This window comes from Homo sapiens, chromosome 13, assembly GCF_000001405.40.
Source record: "Homo sapiens chromosome 13, GRCh38.p14 Primary Assembly".
NCBI classification, from domain to species: Eukaryota; Metazoa; Chordata; class Mammalia; order Primates; family Hominidae; genus Homo; species Homo sapiens.
This window is the reverse complement of record NC_000013.11, coordinates 92,483,338-92,510,797: the sequence shown is the minus strand read 5'-3', so window position 1 is coordinate 92,510,797 and position 27,460 is coordinate 92,483,338. Positions and strand designations below refer to the sequence as shown.

The 27,460-nt window shown below is 35.1% G+C and overlaps 1 protein-coding gene, 1 long non-coding RNA gene and 1 other non-coding gene across 4 annotated transcripts in view, besides 1 other annotated feature; all 3 read right to left on the bottom strand.

The window, feature by feature from the left end:
- Positions 1 to 27,460, bottom strand: part of GPC5 (glypican 5) — a 1,468,617-nt gene that overhangs the window by 356,440 nt on the left and 1,084,717 nt on the right. The gene's annotated exons all lie outside the window — the stretch shown is intronic.
- Positions 478 to 26,195, bottom strand: GPC5-IT1 (GPC5 intronic transcript 1). The gene is made up of 2 exons (NR_046779.1): positions 26,117 to 26,195; positions 478 to 1,285 (listed from the first exon to the last, which is right to left on the bottom strand). It is a non-coding gene; the product is annotated as a GPC5 intronic transcript 1 (long non-coding RNA).
- Positions 10,288 to 10,582: a silencer, noted in NCBI's record as "tiled region #998; HepG2 Repressive non-DNase unmatched - State 24:Quies, and K562 Repressive non-DNase unmatched - State 25:Art". NCBI's record gives its function as "represses a minimal TATA promoter and a strong SV40 promoter by Sharpr-MPRA in HepG2 and K562 cells {active_cell/tissue: HepG2 | K562}" and the evidence as "EXISTENCE:reporter gene assay evidence [ECO:0000049][PMID:27701403]".
- MIR548AS (microRNA 548as) lies at positions 20,578 to 20,635 on the bottom strand. The gene has a single exon (NR_049840.1). It is a non-coding gene; the product is annotated as a microRNA 548as (primary transcript).

The window sequence follows — 27,460 nt, the reverse complement described above, 5'->3', positions numbered from 1 at the left end:
GTCTCACTCTGAAATTAAGACAAGTGAATTTTCATAGTCCCCTATAGGTGGAAAATCAGCATAAGCCATGGATACAGCTGAGATCTAGGAGCCAGAGCCACGTGGCTCCATCTAAAGTAACCCAGAGGTGGGTTCATAATACCAGTTCCTACAGATGGTGTCTTGATCCCAGCAGGAGAGCTCAGATTCCATAAATTCCGTAACAGAAGACTGAATGTCCTGAGGCCTTATGTCAATTGTATATACAATAGTCAACATTGCAATTGAATGAATAATACTGTTCTAAAGATTGAGTAAAAGGTAGCTCCCTGAAGCCAGTTGTTTCTATGCAGCTGAGCACAGAAAGCATGCTTCTAAGAAAGGATATTAAGACAAAATTCCCTCCTGCCATGTTCCCCATCATTCCCTTCGATGTAGGTCTTTTATTCTAACCCACTGGCATCTTAAGAGGTTGTTAAGTTATTAGGCTGGTAGACATTTTGACATCCCTCAAATTAATTTATTTGAATTTTACTTGAAAGTGGGCCAAGATGAAGCTGAGTTATCTCTAAGAATAAACATAAAGATGCCTTTAATTTTTCCAAAAATAAAAAAACAGCAAAAGAGGAAAAAACATTATGTTTATCTAGAAACAATTTTTAAAGTAAAAGCAGTGTGTATAAGAAATTATGTTGTCAGAAGACAATGTCATTAATAATATATCAAAAATAGTATTGGTTTCTTTTCTAAGTAACCCTTGGATTAGGATGGTAACCCTATTTATGTTATTTGTATGTACAATAACATGCCTCAAAATCTCTTATACAATCTGAAATATTAAGCTTACAACATTTAGAGTATGTGTATAGCATATAATAGTAAAATGTGATTGCATGTTTAAAGTGTAGCAATTCAGGAATCTGTTTCTACTAAGTATTATATTTTCTAGCAGAATGAGCAAAAATATTCATTTCTACACTCATTTCTTAGTGTCTCTTATCTCTCATTGCGCCCATGTTGAAGTGAGCAATGACAAAAAATAATTTTCCCCCAACAGATGAAGGTGAGTATGCCGTTGTTTGTTTGCTAGCTTTTAAATAACTGGTAAATTGTAGAAATTTCGCTGTCTTGAAATCAGTTATTTCTGTCTTCCTTGGATGCCGTATCACCATACTGTTAACTTTGATCTCTGAAGGGAGAATTCCAAATGCCATTTTTCTCTTTCATCTCGATCACATCTTTATCTGCTTTCCATTCCCAACACATTTGTAGAATGTCTCCTTTGCATGAGGCACTATCGTGGTCACTGAAGGAAGAAAGTAATGAAAAAATAAGAAAAAGATAAGAAAATATAAGAGGAGATGTGCTATCAAGGCGAGAGGTGTGTCAAGAGGTGATGCTAAGCCTAAGATAATGAGACAATAGCAGAGAGAATTAAGCAGAGAGAACCTTTTGGGGGAATATAATATTTTACCTAAGGAAAGATTTATGTGATGCTTAAAGGGTCAGAGATAATTAAAAGCAATGGGAAGAAAGGAATTCCCCTTAGAGCAGACAGAAAAGATAGGGAGAGGAGGGTTAAAACTATCAGGAAGTATACAAGGAAATGATTAGCGGATTGATGTTGCTGGGATGTAATGTTTGAGGCAGGGGTAAATCATGATAGAGCCTATACCATGGAATTCTTCACATCAAACTATTCTATTACTTAGCCACTTTCTTTTTCCTTCGAGTGCTTGTTACTATCTGGCATATATTACATATTTATGTATGGTCTGTCATTCTTTTTAGGATGTTATCTTCACAAGCACAGGTTTTTCTCTATCTTGTTCACTACTCCACCCTCAGTACTTGCAACAGAGATTTGCACAGAGTAGGCGCCCAGTCCTTCATAGAGAAATGCAGAAATGAATGAATAAATTGAGTGCTTAAAATCTTATCTTTCAAAACCGTCTTCTGATTTCAATTACTTTTCCTGTTTTAGCACAACCTAAAATACAGTCAAATTCTTCATGATTTCCAATCACATCAATATTTTTATTAAATTGTTTTACCTCTATGACTTGACTAATTTATTGCCTGTAAAGAGAATGTCTTTTGAGTGGGCCTCCAGCTAACATGCTGATTATCTGCAGTTATAAAACTTCAAGACAGAATTAATCATCTATAAAGCATAGTTTTTAAGAACTTGAACTCTAGATTCATATAGCCAATAGCAGCTTCTCTATTTACAGTGTGTCCTTGGGCAAGTTACTTAATGTCTCCATACTCGTGTTTCCTCAAATGTGAAAGAATGTTACCCACTTCACCATTACTGAGAATATCAGATTGTACAAAATCTGTGAAACTCTTAAAACAATACACAATTCATAATACATTTTTTTCTTGTATTAAAAGTTCTGTATATGCCTGTCCATAATCATTATTATTGTACCCAAGCTGAGGACACAGATTAGGACTTTAAAATTTTCCTATCTACTTGTCTAATATGATGTTCTATATATATTTGGGTGATTTACAAATGAATGCTAATTTATTGAGTTAACTCTTATAAGTAGGCCATGCACAGTGGCTCACGCCTGGTATCCCAGGACTTTGGGAGGCCGAGGCGGGAAGATCACGAAGTCATGGGATCAAGACCATCCTGGCCAACATGGTGAAACACTGTCTCTACTAAGATACAAAAAATTAGCCCAGCATGGTGGTGTGCACCTGTAGTCCCAGCTACTGGGGAGGCTGAGGCAGGGGAATTGCTTGAACCTGGGAGGCGGAGATTGCAATGAGCTGAGATTGTGCCACTGCACTCCAGCCTGGCAACAGAGTGAGACTCCAGCTCAACAACAAAAAACTAAATTAATTAATTAAATTAATTAAATAAAAATTTGTAAGCAGGACTTTCTTTTCAGCAATAGATCCATTCAATATACATAAAATGGTTTCATAATTTTTCAAATTCACCACAAATTCAAGCAAAAAAAAATAAGGTAAACCATTAAATGTATGAGGATTGTTGAAATTTTTCACTTGTGCAGGATATATTTTATTCCTATGAATCAGCAAAGCTATTTCCACTTAATTCTAAATAAAGGCACCTTGACATTTTTTTCTTTCAAAATAATGTACCAGTTATAACATTTTCAATTCTCAGTGGTATAACTTGTAAATAACTTTACTTTGCTTTTAGAAATTCTGCTAACATCAGAGCAGAGATGTTATAGGTAGAGTGGGTGTGAGTTTATTCAGTGTTGTCTAAACTGGTTATGAAAACAATTGCACACTCTTATGTGAGAAGGGATTTCATCTATTCTGCCAGTTTTTGTAAATAACACATTTTCAAATACTACACCTACTGCAGAATGAAAAAAATATTTGTAGAGAATATTTTATAGATGTTTTATAATGAAAGGACTGAAGCCAAAGAAAGCTAAATTCATTCATTCATTGTTTCATTTATACATTTACTCATCAAGCGTTTGTTGAATTTCTATAGCTATTGCTGGCAAGAGAAAAAAGTAAAAATGTAAATAGATGAGAAAAAATTCCTTGTGATGCTGTAAGTGGGTAAGATTAGAGGCAAACTCAATGTACTGTGAAGACAAACGGTGGATGGGATGGTTGAGTAAGTAGTTGATCTTTCATCTGGGGAGTAGAGAATGATTAGGACAGATTTACCAATGGAAGTAATTCCTGAATAGCCTCTAGAAGAAAGGGTAGAAATGATTATGGTGAGTAATGAGGCAAGAATATTCTAGGCAGAGGAAGCTGCATGTGCAAAGCATGAAGACATGGAAATGCATAGATTTAGGGAATCACATACTTGGGGGCCAAGGAAGTAGCAGAAATCAAGGTGTAGACAGAGGCACAGACTAAGTGGAAATATCTTAAGTGCAATGATCTGTATGTATATAATTCTAATATTCCAATAAGAGCCTCCTGATTCTTAGAATCATATTCTTTTCATAACACAATTTTTCATTTGTTTCCAGAAATTTTAATCGAGCCTGCGACAGGCTATGGTAATAAAGTAAGGCATACTCTTGAACCTAAAAGTATATGTGTGAATCAAAGGTAGAAGATTCCAAATGAATCACCCGGAGCCTTGACACAAAGTAGAAGAGCTTCCTACGTTCTCCTCAGGGATGTTATATATTTGAAAGACCACAAAACAAAAGAAACAGAGGCTGGAATTTCACTCTCTGAAATTTCCTCAGAATCACGAAGTAAGAGGTGCATTTTATAAGTTTGGTTAACTGTTGTGTCTAAATCATATTCTGGTCACTGTCAAGAAGTTATATGAGGAACATGCTTTATTTGGAATTTACTTTGCTTGAAAGAGGCCTAGAGTTTTCTTAGCTATAATTTTATAATCAATTATTATTTAAAAAATATTTTCTGTAATCTATTTTTTGACTGGCTTTAATTTTTAAACTGGCCTTAGTTTTTCTTATTTCTAATCAAACTTTTATTTTGAAATTTTAATTTCTGAAATATAAACAGTGTAATATTGTTCCTTAGAACTCTTTCATTCATATGAAGTTTTTGAAAAAGTGTGTGTTCCTATAATGATTCTACTTCTCTTAAAGTCCTCAGAGACAGCCTTTATTTTGCATTTTCATGCAGCTCATCTTCCAAGCTTTTTACTACTATTAAATACAAAGTTTGGTATGTAGTGGATAATTATTTTTAAGGTCATATTTAAGTTAATACTCAATAAAATTGACCTTTAATGTGGCATACAGTTCTATGAATTCTCTCCTGTGCCCATGCTGATGTAGCCACCAACTCCGAAAAGAAGGCCGAACAGTTATATTCCATTCCCCCATTCTCTCCTTCCATCTCTTTACAGTCCCACTACTTCTCACTCCTACATCCTGTCAACCACTGATCTGTTTTCCATCACTGAAGTTTTATCTTTTTAGAGATTAACACACACATGGAAACATGGAGGCTGTAACTTTTTGATACTGGCTTCTTTCACTCAGATTAAAGCCTTCGAGTTTGATGTAAGATGTTGTGAGTACCAAAATAATGCACACATTTTAATTGTTTAGTAGTATTCTATAGTCGGGATGTATCATAATTTGCTTATCCATTCAACCATTGAAAGATATTTGGGTTATTTCAAGTTTTTGGCAATTATGAAGAGAACTGCTATAAACATTCATATGTAGGTTTTGTATAAATCTAAGTTATTTTTCTGGGGTAAACACCAAGCAGTGGGATTGCTGGGCCATATGGTAAGTGAATGTTAAATTTAACATGAAACTACCAACCACCTTAAAGAGTGACTATATCATTTTCATTTCCCAATGCAATGTATGAGAATCCCAGTTGCTCTTTGACCTCACCAGCACCAGGAATTGTTAATACTTTTTTTTAGTGGGAGTTATTCTAATGGGTTGTAGCGATATCTCATGATTTTCATTGACTTTTTCCTAGTGATTTTGATTTTAAACATCTTTTCACATGTTTACTGGACTTCCATGTCTTCTTTCGTGAAACATCTGTTCAAGTCTTTTGCCCTTTTTAAATTTGATTCTTACTGCTACATTTTGAGATTTCTTTATATATTCTGAATACAGCTCCCTTTTCAGATATGTGGCTTGAACATATTTTTGCTCTTTCTATGCTCTTTAAAATTACTGTTAAAGTTAACTTCTCAAAGTTAACTTTAAAAGTTACTGTTAAAGTAAACAGTAACTTTAACTTCTCAAAGTTACTGTTAATGTGAACTGTAACTTTAGGAGACTTTTAGACTCTCTAAAGTTTCTTAACAGTAAGTTCAAAGAACAAAAATTTTAGATTTTGATGTAGTCCTATTTATATGCACATATATATATATAAATATATATAGATATGACTTTCATGGTCTTGCTTTAGTTGTAAGGTGTAAAAACTCTACTCCCTGGGAATGAAGGTTTTCTTCTGTGTTTTTTCTAAATGTATTACAGTTTTGTGTTCTATATGTACATCTATGATCAATTTAGAGCTAATTTTTAGATAAATTGTGAAGTTTAATTCAGTGCTCTTTTCTTTGCATGTGGTTGCCCAAGTACTCCAAAGCCATTTGTTGAAAAGTCTATCCTTTCTCTATTGTCATTGCCTTTGCACCTTTGTCAAAACTTGTCCATATTTGTGTGTCTACTTCTGGATTATCTTCTCTGTGACACTGATCTCTGTGTCCGGCCCTTAGCTAATACTGTATTCTTTTGATTACTAAACAATTTTTTGAAATTAGAAAATGAAAGTCTCCCATTTTGTCTTTATTCGCAATTGTTTTGGTTATTTTATCACCTTAGCACTTTTGTCCTTTTCTATATACATTTTAGAATCAAGTTTTATATATTGGCCAAGAAATCTTGTTGAGATTTTGATTGGACTTGCATTAAATCTACAGATCATTTTGGGTTGAATTAACATTATTACTATATTGAGACAAATCTATGAATATGTGATAACTCTCCATTTGTTTAGGCTTCCTTTGATTTCTTTCACCAGTGTTTTATACCTGTCAACATTCTGTTTCTGTACTTGTTAGGTTTACAACTAGGTATTTTATTTTGGAGTGATTATATGGTTTTCAAAAGTTCTTCGCTTCTATAGAGAAATGTAGTTCATTTTGTGTGGTGAATTTGTATCCTATAATCCTGCTACGATATCTTATTAGTTACAGAAGTTCTTTGGAAAACCTTTCAGTTTTCTATATAGAATATATCTTACGTGAGTAAACACAGTTTAATTTCTTCCTTTCCAATTGTATGCATTAAAGTAGAACAAGAACAAAACAAAGTAAACAAAGAAACAAAATAGCTCTTCTTTAAGTTCCCTAAATTTTATTAGAAACAATCTTCAAAACAAAGTAAACAAAGATACAAAATAACTCTTCTTTAAATGTTCCCTAGAATTTATCAGAAACAATCTTGGCCAAGAGGATTTTATTTTCAGAAAAAGACTAACTACAAATTAAATAGTTATATGAACATGATGGTTATCTAAGTTATCTTGGTTGTGCTTTGGTGATTTCTGGCTTTGAGGAATTAATATATTTCATGCAATTTGACAAACTTTGGTGTGTAGGATTTTTTGTGATACAGACTTATTGTTTTAATGTTTATGGAGTCTGTAGTGATAGTCTATCTATAATTTTTATATTGATAATTGGGTATCGATAAAGATAATTCTTTGTTAGTCTTTCCAGAAGTTTACAGCTATTGTTTTAATATATTTTCTTTGTTGTTTTCCTGGGTTTTTTTTAAAGAGGGTATTTCTACTTTTCACTTTCTTATTCTCTTACTTCTGCTTGCTGTGGAGTTTACTTTGCTCTTTTTTCTAGATGGAATCTTAGATAATCCAAGCTTATTCATGTCAAGCTTTTCTTCTTTTTGTGTAAGCATTAACTGCTACAAGTTTCTGGCTAAGCACTGCTTTAGCTGCATCCCACAAATTTGATTTGCTGAATTTTCATTTTTCCTCAGTTCAGTATGTATTCTAATTTTCCTTTTGATGTTTTCTTTGACTGATGGATTGTTAAAAAGTATGCTACTGTGGAATAACAGACTGGTAGACTTGGAAAGGTGAGACAGTAGGAGGGAGGTAAGGAATGAGAAATTACTTAATGGTACAATGTACATTATTTGGATGATAGTTACACTAAAAGCCAAGACTTCATCACTATACCATATATCCATGTAATGTTGTTCCTTGTTTTCTGCACTTGTACCCCTTAAATTTATACAGATTTTTTTAAAAGAAGAAAATGTGTTAAATTTTCAAATATCTGGAGGTGTTCCTGTTATCTTTGTTATTTAGTTGATTATTATTGTAGAACACATTATGTGTGATTTTAATTCCTTATATTTGCTGAACTTTGCTTTAGAATCCAGAATATGGGCGCTCTTGGTGAATGTTCCTTGTGTATATGGGAAAAATGTATGCACTGCTGTGTCCAGTGGAGTGCTCCAATGTCAATTAGAATTGATTGATTGATGTCACAGCTTAGGTCAACATTCTCACCTATTTTCTGTCTACAGATTGTATCAGCTACTGAGAAAAGAATGTTGAAATCTCTAACTCTACTTGGGAATGTGTCTGTTTGTGTTTTCAGTTCTGACCATGCTTGATTTATGTTTTCTAAAATTCTGCTGTTAGGTTCATACACATTGGGATTGTTTTCTGCTTTAAATATAATGTCCCTCTTCGTCTCTGGTCTTGTTCCTTAAGCCCACTTCATCTAATTAACACAGCCACTCCAGCTTTGTTTTTGTTCGTGTGTGCATATATATTATTTTCTCAATCCTTTATATCTAGCTTATCTACATCACTATGTATATCTGAAGCGAATTTTTTGTAGACAGCATATAGCCATTTCATGTTTTTTTTAATCCATTCTGACAATCTTTGTATTTTAAAATGTGTGTTTAGTCAGTTTGCATTTAGTATTTATTGATATGCTTAGATTTAGGTCTACCATTTTATTATTTTTTTTCCAATTATTCCCTCTGTTTTTCAATCTTTATTCATCTTTTCTTATTTTCCTTGGGTTATTCCAACATCTTTTTTACTCTATTTAAATACACCTACTGCACATTCAGCTGTATCTCACTGTATAATTTGCAGACATGTGTGTGTGTGTCCAGTGACTTTGGGGATTATCATCCAAATACTTAACTTTTCTCACTCTATTCAGAATTGGTATTTTAGCATTTTAACCAGAGCATATAAATCTCATTACTATATATTACCAAACATTTTAAAGAATCATGAGAACAAGTCTATTTACCCCAATAGTTGCCATTTTTGTCGCTCTTCTTTCGTTTGTGATATTGCAAGTTTCTTTCTAGTATCTTTTTCTATGAAGAATTTCCTTTGGCAATTCTTTCAGAGCAATTCTGACAGCAACAGATTCTGTTAGTTTTCCTTTATTTGAGAACACTATTATTTTATGTTTATTTCTGGACATTATTTTTACATGATTTAGAATTCTGGGAGGACAGTTATCTCAGCACTTTAAACATATTTTCTTTCTTTTCCTGATCACCACAATTTCTGATGAGAAATCTGCAGACAGACATTTAACAGAACGTCTCCATGTTTCTTTGATAGTTTGAAAACATTTAAACAGTTTTCTCTGGATGCTCTTAAGACTCTTTACTCTTTTTGTTTTCTTGGATTATGCTGTGTCTCGGCCCACACTTCTTTGGGTTTACCTGATTTAGGGTTTGATGAGTGTTTTGAATCTGCAGGTTTATATGTTTCACTGGATATGGGAAATTTTCAGCCTTTATGTCTTAAATATTTTTTTCTGGTCTACGCTCTTTGCCTCTCTTTCTGGGACACCAGTAGTGCCAATCATAAACCTTAGGAACTATTCCAAAGGCCAATTAACAATTGTTCATGTTTTTCAATTTTGGTTCTATTGTTAATCTTGCATAATTCTTATTGATCTGTTTTCAAGTATATTGTCACATTTCTGTCATTTCCATCCTGTGATTGTGCCTATCCAGTAATTTTTTTCAGTGCTACATTTTCCATTTGTATCTTCTATTACACCTATTTGCTGAGATTTTCTATTGTTTCATTCCTGCAATACATTTTTACCTTTATTTGTTGGAATATTTTATTATAGCTTGTTAAACTGTTTGTCTAATTACTCTCATTACTGTGTCACTTCAATAGAGGCATTTATTTTATTGTATTTTCATATGTGGGATGTTATTTTCCTTGTAAGCCATATGTGAGGTAAGGTTTCATTTTATCCTAGACATTTTGAGTATTATGTTTTGAAAATCTGGGTCTTGTTATTATCTTATGAAAAATATCTCCACTTTTGTTTTATAGATAGTCAACTGGGTAGGGGTCAAGCCACTAGATTTGACTAGGTTTCCTTAGCTCTCCCTCTCTGTAATCTCCCCTGAAGTTTCCAATTCTCTGGTCTTCCCTTTTTTGGTCTTTTATCCAGAAAGCAGCGGATTTATTTATCTAACTCTTTTGCCCTCTCTCTAAGCTGCACCCATATCTAAGGCAGGTGGTGAGTGGACAAAAATAAAGTAAAAACAATGTGAGTTTGCCTCATCCTCTTGAGGCCACAGCTACTTAAATCAAGGAGGATGATGCCTCTTCCTTGGATAGCTGCAAGACTTCACTGCTGCTGCTACTACTGCTACCTGTAGGGGTTCACTCAGGATGGGGGGAAAAATTGTAAAATAAACTATCTTGGAAGGCCAGAAGGTTTTTGCAAAAGCCTCAGGATAGAGTTATGGCTGAAGGCAGCCTAATCCTCTTTGAGCTATAACAAGGGTGATTAACATAGGAATGTAGAGAAGTCTATCTAAATCGCTTGTTTACTCTTGTGGTCCTAAGACTAACCTTTGACCATCTGCGGTGCATGATTGCTCTCTACTCCTGGGGGTCCGGCAACAGTAATTACCTTCTAATGGTGTTTACTTGAGACTTTTGTCATTTATTGTGTGCTGAATACATGCCAGGAGGGCCAGGGAGTTGCAACTCATCACAGCACTCTCCCGGGAGTCTGTAAGTGGTCTGGATTCTCAGCCAGACTGACAAGCATAATATCTGTGTCACTGTACGTTATTCATCTGTTGTTGGGTCAGGGTCTGTGGGACGGACCCCTACAGCTTCCAACAAACCATTTTCTCAGTTCTCAAGCCTAGATGACAGGGCTTCTCCTGGTGTTCCTTATGTCCATGCTGATGCCTGCTTCCATCTTTCAGGCTAACTTGAGTCCAGGCTGGAGAAACTTTTAAAAAAGGAAAGTCACCACCAATTTAGTGGTATTTTGAATTCTGTTTTTTTCCAATCTATCTGTCACTATTTACTTTTTAGAGTCCTCAAAGAGATGCTCTATGCATTCTGTTCAGGTTTTATAGCTTATTCCATTTTATCCCAAACTGAAAATCCTAGATGGATAAAGTTTGATTCATAGTTGCATGTAGGTAAAAATTGAGTCAAAGCTGAGGTCCCATTTTTCAATGAAGACTTAGCCTGATCTTTGAAATGTTGGTGAATTAGTATGTAACAAGAAGATTCACTTAGCCAAACTAGAATATTTCCCTACCGAGTTAGCTAATAAATTACTGTACATACAAGGCACTATGTATGAAAATTTTATGAAGTTTAAATCTTTACTGTAATATTGATTCTGGCACTTTATGCTCTTTGGTAGCTAGTTATGATCTGACTCCTATCTCCAATTATTGTAAAGTTAATTAATGCACTTTTCAGGTAAATTTATTAAAAAATACACAGCCTTCTTCATGTCTCTCAATCTCTTCATATGCTACTACTTTGGCTAGATATTCGGTGTTGTCAATCACATTATGAAAACATTTTCAATAATAATCAACTGATTCTATCTATCCAACCCTAGGAAAATTATCTTCCTATTGAACAGGCAAAAAAAGAACAGCAAATTGATTTTTCACAGTAATTTCCATGTTTCTCTTTTCTGAGATCATTCATCAGTACAAACCGTTTTGCTCAAAAAATATGTCATTGCCAGTAACATTTGGGAGAAATTCTATCATGTCAGGAAGATTCCTCCTAGGTTTCTCAGTATAAGCTCAGATTTCCTATTGTTTGAACCCTGGAGCCACCTCACATTACTTTTGAACACTGTTATTCTTCACTTATAAAAGGGACGTCTGTTGGTGTGCTTCTTATTTGTATGAGTCCTATTCTTACATCCAAACTATTTTTTCTATGTTAAGGACATTCCAGGATCCTCTCTATTTTTCTTCACTTGGTCCCACACATCACACTCTACTACTTAGGATGAAGTGGGGGGAAGAGGTTTCTAGTATCTTTCAGCATTCTATCTAGGATGTAATCTTTTATTTTCATATTCATGTGAAAGAAAAGGGCTAACATCTAGCATTGGGGAAACCTGATGATTTGTCATTTGCTTTATTTCCCCTTTGCCACACTCATTCAAGAATTGTTAGGAGTTTATCTATGCCGGATAATATGCGAACGAGAATTTGCCCAAGGATGACATGCCAGGCCAATCTCCCTAATTTCATGGTTTAAATTAGTTATGGAATAATGAGTAACCCATATAGATGAAAGAGCACATATAATGGGTCCGATTGTCTAACTGTAAAAGGTGAAGGCATTATAGTACGTAGCTAGTCAGATATGAGCAGGGCAGGAGAGTCTCCCACCCTCTGCCCTGCAAACCAGGAATGTCAGGTGACCATCAGGTCGTGGTCAGGCAGTTTTTAAGCTGTCCCTCTAAAATAATAATTGGTCCCAGCCAGAACCAGGGAAAGGCAGTCTCTCAATGGACAGAAACATCTGTAAGTGGTGATCAGTAGCTTCCTGATAAGATCTCAGGAGTTGGGCCAAGGGGCTCATGTATGCCACTAAGAGGCAAAATAGCAGCATTTAACTGGTATATGATCTTTCTCTAGGAACACTGGACTGGAAAGGGAAAAATGCCTCAAGTGAGCATGCGTGTAAATCCAGTAAACATATGGCACATGTGGCCCCTCCTAAGTGCTAAAAGCCCATTGTGCATGCAGACAGCCCACCCCAAGAAAAGAATCAGGGGAGAAATAACACAAGACCCCAGAAACATGCCACTGTATAAAACCCCAAAAGGTCAAACACTTGATCTTTCAGGTCACCCACTTGGCCCTCTTCCAAGTGTACTTTAGTTCCTTTCATTCCTGCCCTAAGTAGTGGAATTTCTGGCCAGTGCAATCAGGTAAGAGAAAGAAATAAAGAGTATTCAAATAGGAAGAGAGGAAGTCAAATTGTCTCTGTTTGCAGATGACATGATTTTATATTTAGAAAACCCCATCATCTCAGCCCCAAAACTCCTTAAACTGATAAGCAACTTCAGCAGTCTCAGGATACAAAAGCAATGTGCAAAAATCACAAGCATTCCTATATACCAAGAATAGACAAGCAGAGAGACAAATCATGAATGAACTCCCATTCACAATCACTACAAAGAGAGTAAAATACCTAACATACAGCTAACAAGGGATGTGAAGGACCTTTTTAGGTAGAACTACAAGGAAATAAGAGAGGACACAGACAAATGGAAAAACATTCTATCCTCATGGATAGGAAGAATCAATATCATGAATATGGCCACACTGCCCAAAGTAATTTATAGAGTCAGTGCTACTCCCACTAAACTACCATTGACATTCTTCACAGAATTAGAAAAAAAACAACTTTAAATTTCTTATGGAATCAAAGCAGACCCATGTAGCCAACACAAGCCTAAGCAAAAAGAACAAAGATGGAGTCATCACGCTACCTGACTTCAAACTATACTACAAGGCTGCAGTAACCAAAACAACATGGTACTGGTATGAAAACAGACATATAGACCAATGGAACAGAACAGAGACCTCAGAAATAACACCACACATCTAAAACCATCTGATCTTCAACAAACCTGACAAAAACAAGCAATGGGGGAAGGATCTCCTATTCAATAAGTGGTGCTGGGAAAACTGGCTAACCATATGCAGAAAACAAACTAGACCTCTTCCTTACACCTCATACAAAAATTAACTCAAGATTGATTAAAGACTTAAAATGTATAACCCCAAGCCATAAAAACCCTAGAAGAAAACCCAGGCAATAGCAATCAGGACACAGGCATTGGCAAAGACATCATGACAAAAATGCCAAAAGCAATTGCAACAAAAGCGAAAATTGACAAATGGGATCTAATTAAACTAAAGAACTTCTGCACAGCAAAAGAAATTATCATCAGAATGAACAGGCAACCTACAGAATGGGAGAAAACTTTTGTAATCTACCCATCTGATAAAGGTCTAATATCCAGAATCTACAGGGAACTTAAACTTTTTAATGCTCTTTCACTCCTGCTTAAAACTTGTCTCACTCTGTCACTCTGCCCTATGCCCCTCAGTTGAATTCTTTCTTCTGAGGAGGCAAGCAAGAATTGAGGTTGTGGGAGACCTGCATGGATTTGCCGCCAGTAACAAAGGGATATCAGATTGACCATGCTAACTCAGCCTCTTCTCTAGAATGCATGTCCTGAGTAACAAATGACTGAGAGGGGAACTCATGAGACCTCTCCTCTGTCTGTATGCATGCTGTGTATTTCCTGTCCTGGGTCTTTTCTTAAAGCTTAGTAAGCTTTGTGCTGGCGGTACTGAGTTCTGTGAATTTGGTCGTCAATCCACACCCAAGACTAGTATGGCTGCTAGTAACACAAAGTTGCTACTAAAGCATACCTATTCCCTTTTGTTTTTATGGCTAAGTTTCTCCTCATTTTGCATTTATTTGTTTTCATATTCATGGAGGTACCCAGGGCAGGCAGATGAGGTAATTATTCTTTAGGTCCTGATTTACCTTGCAATAATTTCATTTTGAGAAAAATCGAGTGACACATACTGTGTATTTGTCAATCTTTTCAATTTGTTTTATCTTTTCAAATTGGAAACATCGAGTAAATTGTTTCTAAAATTCCAGCTTTAGAATCTAAATGCCATTTAAAAATTTGCCATTTTATATTTCTAATGTTTGAACTTGTCCTATGATTCATTGCTATTACAAATTGATTTTGAATACATAATACTCATATAATTTCTGATAAATTTTCATGTTTCAAACACAAATGATCAATAATTATATTCGAATTATAAAAGAGCTGTAAAAGTTTTAAAAGAATTTACAGCACTACCACCTGCAATGTGGAGGATTACAAATTCAGATAGGTCCTCCATTGACAGAAAGCACTCCATTGTGGGAAAACCATAACAAAATACATGCTAGTTCATTGTAGAGTTCAAGAGAAAATACAAGAACATTCAAGAGATACAGAAATTTAAAATAAAGGTAAAACTTTAAAAAAAATTGTTGAAAAGCAAACCATTGGAGTTAGCGTAACTTTAAATTCCTCTAACTCTAAATGTCAAGCAGGTAACTGGGATCGAGAATATTTAGACGAATGGACCTGAAGAGAAATGAGAGGCTGGGGTTTACACAGGTTGAAAAATAGACTTTCAACTGCAGATTCATGAATAATGTGAAGACACTTTTAAGTGTTATAATTTCAGTGAGGGTATAAATAGGGGTTAAACAACAACAACAACAAAAACAAAAAACCGCCTGTCTACAAAAGGAACCAATGAAGACATCTCCTAGAATCTGTTACTTATCTCTGTGGGAAAAAAAAAAAAAAAAAGTCTCCTTAAAGATTGTAATGATAGGCCTGTTGTTTCATTTTTCTGGGTTATGGAGTTTACATCACCCCTACATCTGAACTCCCCAGTCTGAGGAATCAAATTAAAGTGGTTCGAGACTGGCAGCATATCCCAATACCATTCAGAATAAAATTAAAATATTTTCTGTAGATAAAAATATAGTCAATCAAAGTCATTCAGGATTCCCATATGGTATGCTGCTAGGTATGAATTCACAATGTAAAGTCACCAAATATGGGAGGAAAAGACATCATTGTAATTGAAAAGTACCAGCAGAAAGCAAAGCTGAGATTTACCTCCACCTCCCCAAACTAATTTAGTTCAGTAAACTTCAAAATATCAAAGATGAAGAGAACATTTAAAAGAAGCCAGAGAGGAAAGACAGATCATCTACAAGAAAGTATCACTTAAAAACAGATTTTCTTATGTCCATAATGACATTGGCAATGTAATATTATTTTCAGCGTGCTGAGAGGAAGTTACCTTTCTAGACTGACGAACTCAGAACAAGTTTGAGAAAAAGACATCTTCACACAATAACCAAGAAATTTTACTTCCTGCAAACAAGAACTAAGTGGACTCTTAAGCAAAATAACTCAAATGGAAAATCTGAGATACAAGAAGGAATAGTGAAGGCAGAAATTTTAAGTATCTCACAAAAAAATTTTTAAAAAATAAACTGTATAATACAAGAATAATAATGTTTAATTGGTGGGGTTAACTACAATAATAGATTTTGGTTGATAGGAAGAAAGAAAGGACATAAAACATGTAGGAAAAGAGGAAGATTAAATCCTGAATACCAGGGTCTATCTTCAAGACTTCTTGGTAAATGCGCACACAATTCAGTAATGTTACTGTAACCAAAGCTTTTTTACCAGTGAGAAGCAGAGGCATACAGGCATTCCCTATAAAGTCAAAATATTAAAAATAATTTAAAAATAAACTAATGCAATATATATTTTTAGGGGCTAAGAGAACTATTGTTGGAAAAATAATTTTAGATACAGCTGCAATTACTTCATATATACGATTTATATATGTTTTTCAAAATAAACACTTAGAATACGAAAAGAAAAATTTGCAAATAAGTTGGTAAGTACAATTTGTACAATCCTGGGAATAATAGCAAAGCACGTTTTATGATTTCCTTTCAAGGATGAGAAAAATACAGTTGAAGAACTTCAAAGTTCTTCAGTAGATTTAAAAGTAATTCTTGGCCAGGCGCGGTGGCTCACGCCTGTAATCCCAGAACTTTGGGAGGCTGAGGCAGGCGGATCACGAGGTCAGGAGATCGAGACCATCCTGGCTAACACGGTGAAACCCCGTCTCTACTAAAGATACAAAAAATTAGCCGGGCGTAGTGGCGGGCGCCTGTAGTCCCAGCTACTCGGGAGGCTGAGGCAGGAGAATGGCGTGAACCCAGGAGGCGGAGCTTGCAGTGAGCCGAGATCGCGCCACTGCACTCCAGCCTGGGCGACAGAGCGAGACTCCGTCTCAAAAAAACAAAACAAAACAAAACAAAACAAACAAACAAACAAACAAAAAAAAACACAAAGTAATTCTTTTAATGTCCAGTGTCCTGCAAATTCATATTCATTATTAAATGTCCATATGTGAATTGTGAATTATATTTTTGTATTTTCTAAAGATGCAAGAGAAACAATATACATTTACATGAACATTGATTAAGTTCATAGTATATAACAATGTCCTCGATGCCTCATCAGTCATATTATTTAGTCTTTGAAGCAATAGTCTGAATTATTATTCCTACATTGCAGGTGAGGGTATCAAGTTTCAGACCGGAAGTGACTTGTCGAATTGCTAGCGCTACGTCTGGATCTTTCTGAATCCAAAGGCTTTGCTTCAGTGAAGTCTCAATTACAATGCCTCTATGCCTCTGGTGTCTCATTGAAAAAGAAAAATAAGAAAGATTTAGTTAAATTAGGAATTACTGAACTCTGAACACAACCAAGACGGCAAGATATCTTGAAGACAGACCTTGAGACTGAGGATTAAATCTCCCTCTTTCTATATATTCATATATATTTTTTCCCCTCGCTCTTCCTCTCAACCAAAACCTACTACTGCAGTTAACCCCACAAATGAAATATTATCGTTCTCACTACTTCAATGAGAGCAGTTGAATGTGCAGATAGTCAATACTGAAGTAGATAAGAAGCAACAAATTCTATTCTATTAAATCCTCTTAATACTGACAACTTCACAGTAGTTTTTAAAAAAGTGTTCCCTCCCTGTTATTTCTTAAAATGATATGCATACAAGTGATATCTTCTAATTTCTCCGAATATGATTGTTCCTGTCAATGTATATAAATTAATGTACAATATTTAATGCTTGTCCCTCTTTAATGCTGAAAAGTTCTAATTTTAAATTAATGTGTACATGTCAATATATGAGATTCAAACATATCTCATGCAGATGAGAATTTTTAAAACATAATTTCTATAGAAACTCCATTAAAAAATAATGTCATGAACCTGTTGAGTCTGTGTTAAGAAGGAACAGCTGCACACTCAGGGCCCTGGAAGGGAGCCCTATCAGTGTGAATTCAGAAAGCAACCAACAGGCTTATTGTCATTTATTTGTGAGAGAACAGCCATTTGTTTGACATACTGAAGTCAGCCTCAGGGTGAGGCTGCTTTGTTCCACACCTATCAGATGGAAAAAAATTATTCCCCATCTTCCTGATAAGAAGTCAAGGAGAATTTTGAGACAGTCACTAGTGGATACAAATAACTGACTGGACAACAGTTGGAGATTACTAGGCATTGCATTTATAAAAAAGGCAAATTTATTTCTGAGATGCTAAAAATTGTTTCAAGATTCAACAAATTCATGAATATTCATTTTTATTCACCTGGCTTTCCTAAGGAAGAAGAACATTACCCTAGCATTGTGTTTATTTGATTGTTCTAGTTTTACTTTTTTGCTTATAATATCATCTCTTTGATTACATATTTACCAGGACATTTTTATGGTTTAGGGAATTACTTTCTTAAGAAAATTAATGTGTTACTTTTTTTGTTTTGTTTTATTTTTATTTATTTATTTCTTGATTCTGTATTTTCTCTTTTTTTATATATTTTTATTATACTTTAAGTTCTAGGGTACATGTGCACAATGTGCAGGTTTGTTTCATATGTATACATGTGCCATGTTAGTGTGCTGCACCCATTAACTCCTCATTTACATTAGGTATATCTCCTATTGCTATCCCTCCCCCCTCTCCCACCCCACAACAGGCACTGTGTGTGATGTTCCCCTTCCTGTGTCCAAGTGTTCTCATTGTTAAAAAAAAAGAAAAAAAGAAAATTAATGTGTTACTCTATTCAAAATGGTCTTAATTTTTTAAATTAAAAATCACAACATTGACATCATTAGAAATGTATATAATTTGTTAAAACATATACACACACAAAATGCTTTTCTTCTGCAAAATACTGAGTCTATACCTGCTTCTTCTATATGTATTGTTGCACAAGAATGATAAAATGAAAGGTTTTGAGGTCCAGATCACAGCATGCAAAAAACATCAAAGGGACAGAGTCTGCCTTTTGGGGACAGACTTAAATGATGTAGACTCTAGACTGAAAAGATAAAAAAAACTGTGAAGCTGAAGAAAGAATGATTCTGCAATTATGAAGGCTAAGGATATATTTCAACTGAATTCAGTTAACAAGAATCTCCTTTGAACCAACAGAGAAGAAAACTGAGGGCAAATAAAAAGAAATATTACTTGACATAGTATAATAATTTTATGAGGTTTGGTTTTCTAGTCAGAATTGACACAGTTTGAATTTGGAGTAGTCTGAAAAAAATCAACAGTTTGGGCATGTACTGCTTAATTTTTAGAGTAATATTCAGGTAGAAGACAGTACATTCGACAATATATTTCTTGTTGCTTGTCAGAGGCAAAATGCTGAAGTGGATAATCTACACGGTTGGCCAAGTGCACTAATTCTTATATTTTATTATGAATATAAGAATAAATGTGAAATCCCATTTATTCACAAAAATCTCCTGACCAAATGAATGTGAAGAACGTGCTGCCGATGTGTGTTGAGAAAATCTTTGCTTTACCATGAGAAAATATTGATCAAATATGTTTCTATAGCATCAAAACAAAAACTACCCATCTTAATATGTGTATAAAACATGAAAATGCCTATTAATTGCACATTTCTAAAATATAATAGTTTTACAAGTGTGTCAAAAAGTTGACTGAATTATATAAAGTAATTCTGGTTCTTCCTTTTCTTTATTAGTCCCTATTTTTGTGGACTTGAAGACTAAAAAAATCAGATCTTTTTTTCTGTATAGCTTGTAATTATGGAGAATGTTTCAAAACAAATTAAAATAGCACTTCACATATCAAGGACATCTCAGAATCATTTTCAAGTTTAAATTTTTAATTAACATGGATCTGATAGTAAACCATTAGCATAGGTTTAATTCTGAAATAATCAGCAATTGAGTACACATCTCCTGACAAGAAAACATAATAAATTTCTGATTTGTCACTAAGCAGAAACTTGGTTCCATATAGTAACGAGACCATCTGAGTCCTTCTCAGTTTCCATAGGTATCTGTCTTTGTTCTACCTCATTCTGTACCCCCTGCATGTGATGGAGTTGACAGTTATTCCTGTATAAATTTTACAAGGCTTCTTTCATGATAAGTACAAAGATTTCCACTGTAGTTTTCTTGCCTCCAATAATTAGCTTGGATTTATTGAACTACTATTTATACTAGTATAGGTTCAACCCAATATATCTTTTCAGTCAATTATTTTTAAGAAAATTTTTAGTTCATTATCTGTTACACGGTTAATTCCTTCCTATGTCCCTATGCTTTTCAAATATAAGATAATATTAGAATTAGTCATAAAAATGAAGAGGTGAAAAACACTTTAAAATTTACAAAACACTTTTATATCTTTTATATACGTTAGTCACTGTGACCCTAAACAGACCACTGGGACAAACACCATTTATATGTTTATTTTAGAACTCAGGATACTGAGGCTTACCAAAGTGTTTACTATTATACAACCATTAAGTGGTAGAGCCAGTCTTCCACCTCTAAAGGCTGGGTGGATACTTAATGTCCCTTTACAATGTATAGCAAGGATACTGATTAGAGAGCCATCATTTTTGATGAGGTTTTATACATTTTTCTACCTGTAAGTTAATCTCGTGTTCATTTATTTATTTGGAAAACATTAAGATTTTAAAATATGCACAACACTAAACATTAGGGACACTAAAAATTATTTCTGTTAGTGAAAAAATAGATATAATAATACAATGAAAAGTGGCAGAATCTAGACGATAATGAGATTGCTTAGGATCAGGCTGGTACAAACATAATTGTGGGTTTTACCATTAAAAGCAACGGCAAAACCCGCAATTACTTTTGCACTGACCTAATAATTCACAAAGAACCGAGAACAATTCAGCTTGGAGTTTTCGGGAAACAATGCGCTGAAAAGTTTAACTGCACATTATAGATAAATTTTTTAAAATGCACAAGAAGAGTATGTAAACAGACATTCTAAGAGGAAGAAGCACATGTTAAAAATAAAAACTTACATATAATGTTTAGGGACAAATATGTCATAATGAAGTTCCACAGAATCATTTAAAATCCTGCCAAGAAACTTGCCCTATATTTTATCCTTTTAGAAGCTGACTTTTTTTTTTTCTGTTTGCAATATGACCATATTTTTTGTTTTTTACATTCAACCAAGAGTTCCTTCCTGGCTTATGAATAGGTGAATCAAGCCTTAGTCCCAGCTCTGTCTGTACCTCCAACTACTGTAGATATTTTGTGTGTCTAGACAAACAAAAGAACGTGGTGATATTTCTTCATCCATACTGTAGGGAATGTGGAGAAAGTAAATTAATATTCTGAGTTCTTCTGAAAGTAGTAATGGCAAGCTTAATGGCAAACTCTAGGTGAGTTTCTGAGAGCAGCCCTGCCTCAGGTATCCACGTGGGTATCTCTCACTTCCTTCAGTTATCTACTCCAATACCACCTTTCGAGTAACCCTGTCCATATCCCTCAACTAAAATAACAACATCAGCACTCCATCTCATCTCACAATTTTTATGCAAATTACCTTGCCTAATTCTTCTCCACGTGTCTCATCAATATCTGACACATGATGTATTTACTGGTTTGTTTTCTGCCAGTATTCTGTTTCCCCGTTAGAATAGAAACTCCATGAGGACAGAGAATTGGTGAGTCACAAGATGTATCTCTAGCAACGAAGACATAGCCCTGCACATACTAATACTTGATAAATATGTATAGGATCATTAGATAAGTGAATGGACATAGGTAAAATGTACATGAAAATGAAGGATTTTTCTTAGTTTGGTGGTTAAATCATTATTCTGTGTCATTTCATCAGAGTTTAGCAGTAGACTAGCCACCTTGAATTTCACATTCTTTCTCTACTCCATGATGCAATGTATTGTCAAAGAGAGATGAAGAGCTTGATTAAATTATTATGTGCTGATTTGTGCATAATTGAGTCAAATAGAAAATAACTGATATATTAATATTTATATGAACATCTGGGAACTTGTATATAATTCTGTCTAAACTTGAAACCATTCCCCTGAAATTTACTTGTTAAAAAAGCCCTTTCTAATGTTTTATTTGTTAGTAACTGCCTTTATTGTCAAGCCTTTAAATGCTATTGCTATGTTAGCACATTGATACACATAGACATGAACAGTTTTCCGGAGGGCAGTTTCACAAGTAGAATTAATTTTAGTCAATTTCACTTTCAAAGCTTCAAACATTATCATGAATCAAGAGAAATGCAATGCCTGCAAGAAACCACCACCTACGACACAGTATCGCTGTGAATTCTGAGCATATGCACTCTAAATACCAGGTTTTATGTCATTGCATTTCCTGTCTGGCTTTGAATGAATTCTGCCTTACAGGACTATTAGCAAACAACAAAAATGATAGCACTTCACAAGCCAAGGAATAACTAACCTACTTAAATATGTCTTCCTTTTGGATAGATTAAAAATGCCAGCAGTTAAGCAGCTGATGTATCAGCACGTATGGCAACGGAGGGATTTTTGCAGGCATATGCACTTAATCAAATATTACTTTTCCCATCACTGCCTAGAATCTATGTAATTTAATTAACTTATGCTTCAGTGGCATTTTGGAAATGAAGTGGATCTGAAGTAAGCATTGGATAGGATCTACTTAGCATTCCATCACGGAAAAGTGATGCATAAATTTAAATCTTTCGATAATATTATGCTTTGATTTAAATTGGTTTGAAAGATTTTGGACTGTTTAGTAAGTTTGCAATCCTTAAATAATTAGTCACAGCCACGTTAGAAAAAAATGGGTTTTCATTGAGTTTTGATACTGGATTAAATTTACAAACTTATATGCCTGTACACACACACACGCGCACACACACACTCAGGCACATACGTATCTGGGTATGTATGTTCATGCATATGTTCACATTTTTATTGAGGTAGAATATGAAGAAAAGAGCAAATATTATAAGTATACAGTTTGATGACTTCAAAAATTGCACATAAACACCCTAATCAAGAAACAGAAATTCATCCATCCTCACAATTCCCTTCATATTTCCTTCCAATCACTAATCCTTACCTCTTCTCATCAAAGGGATCTGCTCTCCTGGCCTGTAATAGCATAGGTTTTACTTTCTTTTTTTTTTTTTTTTTTTTACTATATTTATATATAGTCCATATTTATAATCATGATTTTCTTCACAGAAAAGCATCAAAGTATAGAGATGTTTGTCTCACAACTCTCAGCAAGCTACTTAGCCTGAGATGGGATCACTTAAAATTTACTTCCATTTCTCACAGAATTGTGTCTCAGTGTAGTAACTAATTTCAAGATAAACTTTGGGGTCACGTGCAGCACTTAAATAGTTTGGAAATAAACACTTCCACTGTTCAATGATAAAAATCATTGCTCTCTGGGATGCAGAAAGTTTTCTACTCTTTGAAATATATTGAGGCTTCTTTGTAGGAGAAGGAGTCAATCTGATAATCATACCATCTTATAGATAAGTATTATCCCATCTCAAAAGGCACATGGTACATCATGACATGCCTTTGGTGAATCATGACAATGCAATTTTAGACACAACTAAGAACAGCAATAGTCTCCTGGTTATAAATTCCCTTCAGGCAGTGCCAGTGACAGTTGTATAGGGCTCCATTGGTGGTCACTCTCACTAAATAACATGGTTGTCATTTGTCCAAATAGTCTCCTGAGAAAACCAGTTTCTCACCTTAGGGAATTCTCCTCCTGAAAACATTCTGTTAACTGCATGGAGATGATAAAACTACATGCAAATACAGCAAAGCAGCACTCTCCATAGGACTTTCTAAGACAACAAAAATTCCCTGGCTGGGCACGGCCCCTGTAATCCCAGCACTTTGGGAGGCTGAGGCAGGCAGATCACCTGAGGTCAGGAGTTCGAGACCAGCCTGGCCAGCATGGTGAAACCCCATCTCTACTAAAAATACAAAAATTAGCCAGGCATGATGGTGGGCGGCTATAATCCCAGCTACTTGAGAGGCTGAGACAGGAGAATCTCTTGAATCCAGAAGGCAGAATTTACAGTGAGCCGAGATAACGCCTCTGCACTCCAGCCTAGGCCATAGAGCGAGACTCCATCTGAAAAAAAAAAAATCCCTGTCCCCTGTGTTATCTAATCCAGTAGCCACTAGCCACATGACCACGAATCACATGAAATGTGGCTGATGTGACTGATGAAATGAATTTTACATTTTAATTTTAATTAACTTTAAATCTAAAAAGCCACGTGTCTATTTTTTTGGACAGTAGAGCACGATTCATATTAGGAATTAAACAGTGATCTTTATATTCTCATTCTTATGATTTCCTTTCATAGAAATACAATCAAGTACCTCCAAATTGTCAAAAAGACAAATTTAAAGTTGATATGAGTGTTAGAAACTAAAACTCTACTATTTTTCAATTTACCCCACTTTCCAGTTCCCTATGTCAACAAATCAAACACAGTATTTTTTAAGGAGTTGGAAATGTCTAGAATTTTTTCCTCTTTATTTAAAAAATTACATCACACTTTAGGAAGCAAGTTCGATGTGGTTTCTATTTTACAAAATTTAAATCAGAATCACTATTATTATACCACATATAATTATAATGACAATGATGCCAACAGATAAAAGCTTGATCTGAGGATAGGAGGATAGAAATACCATTTCTCAGTGTATTTTTCGGTGAAGGTCAGGCTAGAATAAGCTTTGTTGTCACTGACATCCGTCAATTTTGCCTGACAGCCCATATAATTAAGTCAGGGGCTATCATTTTAACCAGCATTAAATGTTTTGATGACACTGATAAATTCCAGTGTAAAAAAGACATTGAAGCTTTAGGGAGACAATACAGAATGTGATGGAGCATGTGACAGTTGCATGTATTAATAAGGAAATCTGGATCATTAAGACCTCCAAGGGAAGTTTTCAGCCTGAACGATCCATAGCTGCTGGCATTAGTCAATCTAACTACATAATTTTTAAATATCTCTTTTCTTTTCTTTGAGACAGAGTTTTGCTCTTGTCGCCCAGGCTGGAGTGCAATGGCACCATCTCAGCTCACTGCAACCTCTGCCTCCCAGATTCAAGTGATTGTCCTGCCTCAGCCTCCAGAGTAGCTGGCATTACAGGTGTCCACCACCAAGTCTGGCTAATTTAGTATATACAGGGTTTCACCATGTTAGCCAGGCTGGTCTCAAGCTCCTGACCTCAGGTGATCCACCCACCTTGGCCTCCCAAAGTGCTGGGATTACAGGCATGTGCCAACGTGCCTGGCCTAAATATCTTTTCTCAAATCTTACCCACCTGCTGTAAGGTAGGGCTGTAATGATCCAAAGTGGAATGACCATCTAGAAATTTCTTGATTATTCCATTAAACAATCAACTTGGGGTTTATTGCTCAATTACTATTTGCCTAATTTTGCCATATGGACTGTGATTGAAACAGAAGAAATATAAGAAAGTGATTTTTTTTTCTACTCTTGATGAACTTGTGATGTTATCTTAAAGACAAAATACATTTAAAAATTAGAGAAAAAGACTTTTCTATGAGAGTAAAGGCTATGCCTTTAGTTTGCACTCACCTTATTTTCTCTGGCTATTATTTTGGAGTCTGGCAACTAGCACCCAAAAATATTTGTTTAACAGATGTTGAATTAATAACATTTAATTAGTAAGACTGCCTGAAATGTCAACTTCCTATAATACCATCAAGGTTACATCACTCATATATTCAGAAAATATATTGCATAAAAACAAATTACAAAAATTGAAGATAATTCATTTGCACAGGTTTAGTGTTTGAAACTTTCCACAGACTTGCCTCCATCAAACTTCCAGAACTCACTTCCATTTCATCCCTCTAACCTTTAAATATGGATTGTTTCACTTGCCAACATCCCCTTGGCTGCATCTTTCCTTCAAATCTCTATTCAAGGCCAGGGGCAGTGGCTCAAACCTGTAATCCTGGCACTTTGGGAGGCCGAGGCAGGTGGATCACTTGAGGTCAGGAGTTCGAGACCAACTTGGTCAACCGGTGAAATCCATCTCTACTAAAAATACAAAAAAAATTAGCCGGGCATGGTGGCACGCACCTATAGTCCCAGCTACTCGGGAGGCTGAGGCAGGAGAATTGTTTGAACCTGGGAGGCAGAGGTTGCAGTGAGCCGAGATCGTGCCACTGCACTCCAGCCTTAGTGACAGAAGGAGACTCTGTCTCAAAAAAAAAATAAAAAAATAAAATAAAAATTCTATTCAAGGCACATCTGACCTATAATGGTCCAAACTCACATGTTGTCTGTCCTTCTAAAGAGAGTAGCCTTTTATCATTTTTATTATATATGTGCTGCATAAGCACATTTCAGTCAACAAGGGAGGTGAAAGATTCCTATTGCCTGGTGATATAGCCATTGTGATGTCAGAGCACAATGCATTACTCACATGTTTACGGTGATGCTGATGTAGACAAACCTACTGAGCTGCCAGTCATATAGTATGCATAACCAAATATAGCCTACATGATTATGTATAGTACATAATACTTGGTAATGATAATACATGACTAAGCTACTGGTTTAGGTATTTACTCTACTTTTTATAGTTATTTTAGAGTATACTCCTTCTGCATATTAAAAAACAAAAATTAACTGTAAAACAGCTTCAGACAGATCCTTCAGAAGTTATTCCAAGAGTCGTTGTTATCATACATGATGACAGCTCCATGAGTGTTACTGACCTTGAAGTCCCTCCAGTAGTACAAGATGTGGAGGTGGAAGACAGTGATACTGATGATCTTGACCTTGTGCAGGCCCAGATGTTTTGATTTTTGTTTTCTGAAACAGGGTATCACTGTGTTGCCCAGGCTGAAGGGCAGTGGAGTGATCATGGCTCACTGTAGCCGTAAACTCTTGGGCTCAAGCGGTCCTCCCACCTCAGCCTCCTGAGTAGTTATGACCACCTGTGCATGCCATTATACCTGGCCAGTTATTTTAAATGTTTTGTAGAGACAAGGTTTTGCTATGTTGTCCTGGTATGTCTCAAATTCCTGGCCTCAAGAGGAGGAGGCCTTTTCCCACCTTGACCTCCCAGAGTGCTGGGATTACAGATATGAACCACAGTGCCTGGCAAGACTAGGTTAATGTGTGTTTGTGTCTTCGCTTTTAATAAAAAAGGAAAAAAAAAAAGAAACTAGATAAAAGCTTTAGAATAATATAACAAAAAAATCAGGTATAACTGTACAGTATGTTTTAAGCTACATTTATTATAGAAAAGTCAAAATGTTAAAAAACAAAATTATAAAGTAAAAAATTACAGTGTTAAGGTAAATTTATTATTGAAGAAAAAGAAATATTTTTAATAATTGTTGGGTATTCTAAGTGTATAGTATTTATAAACTCTACACTAGTTTACAGTAATTTTCTCGGCCTTCACATTCACTCACCACTCACTGACTCACCCACAGTAACTTTGTGGCCTGAAAGCTCCATTCATAGTAATTTCCCTATAAGGTGTACTATTTTTTATCTTTTACACTGTAGTTTTACAGTATCTTCTCTATGTTTAGAGACACAAATACTTACCATTGTGTTACAATTGCCTACACTATTCAGTACAGTAACATGTCATACAGGTTTG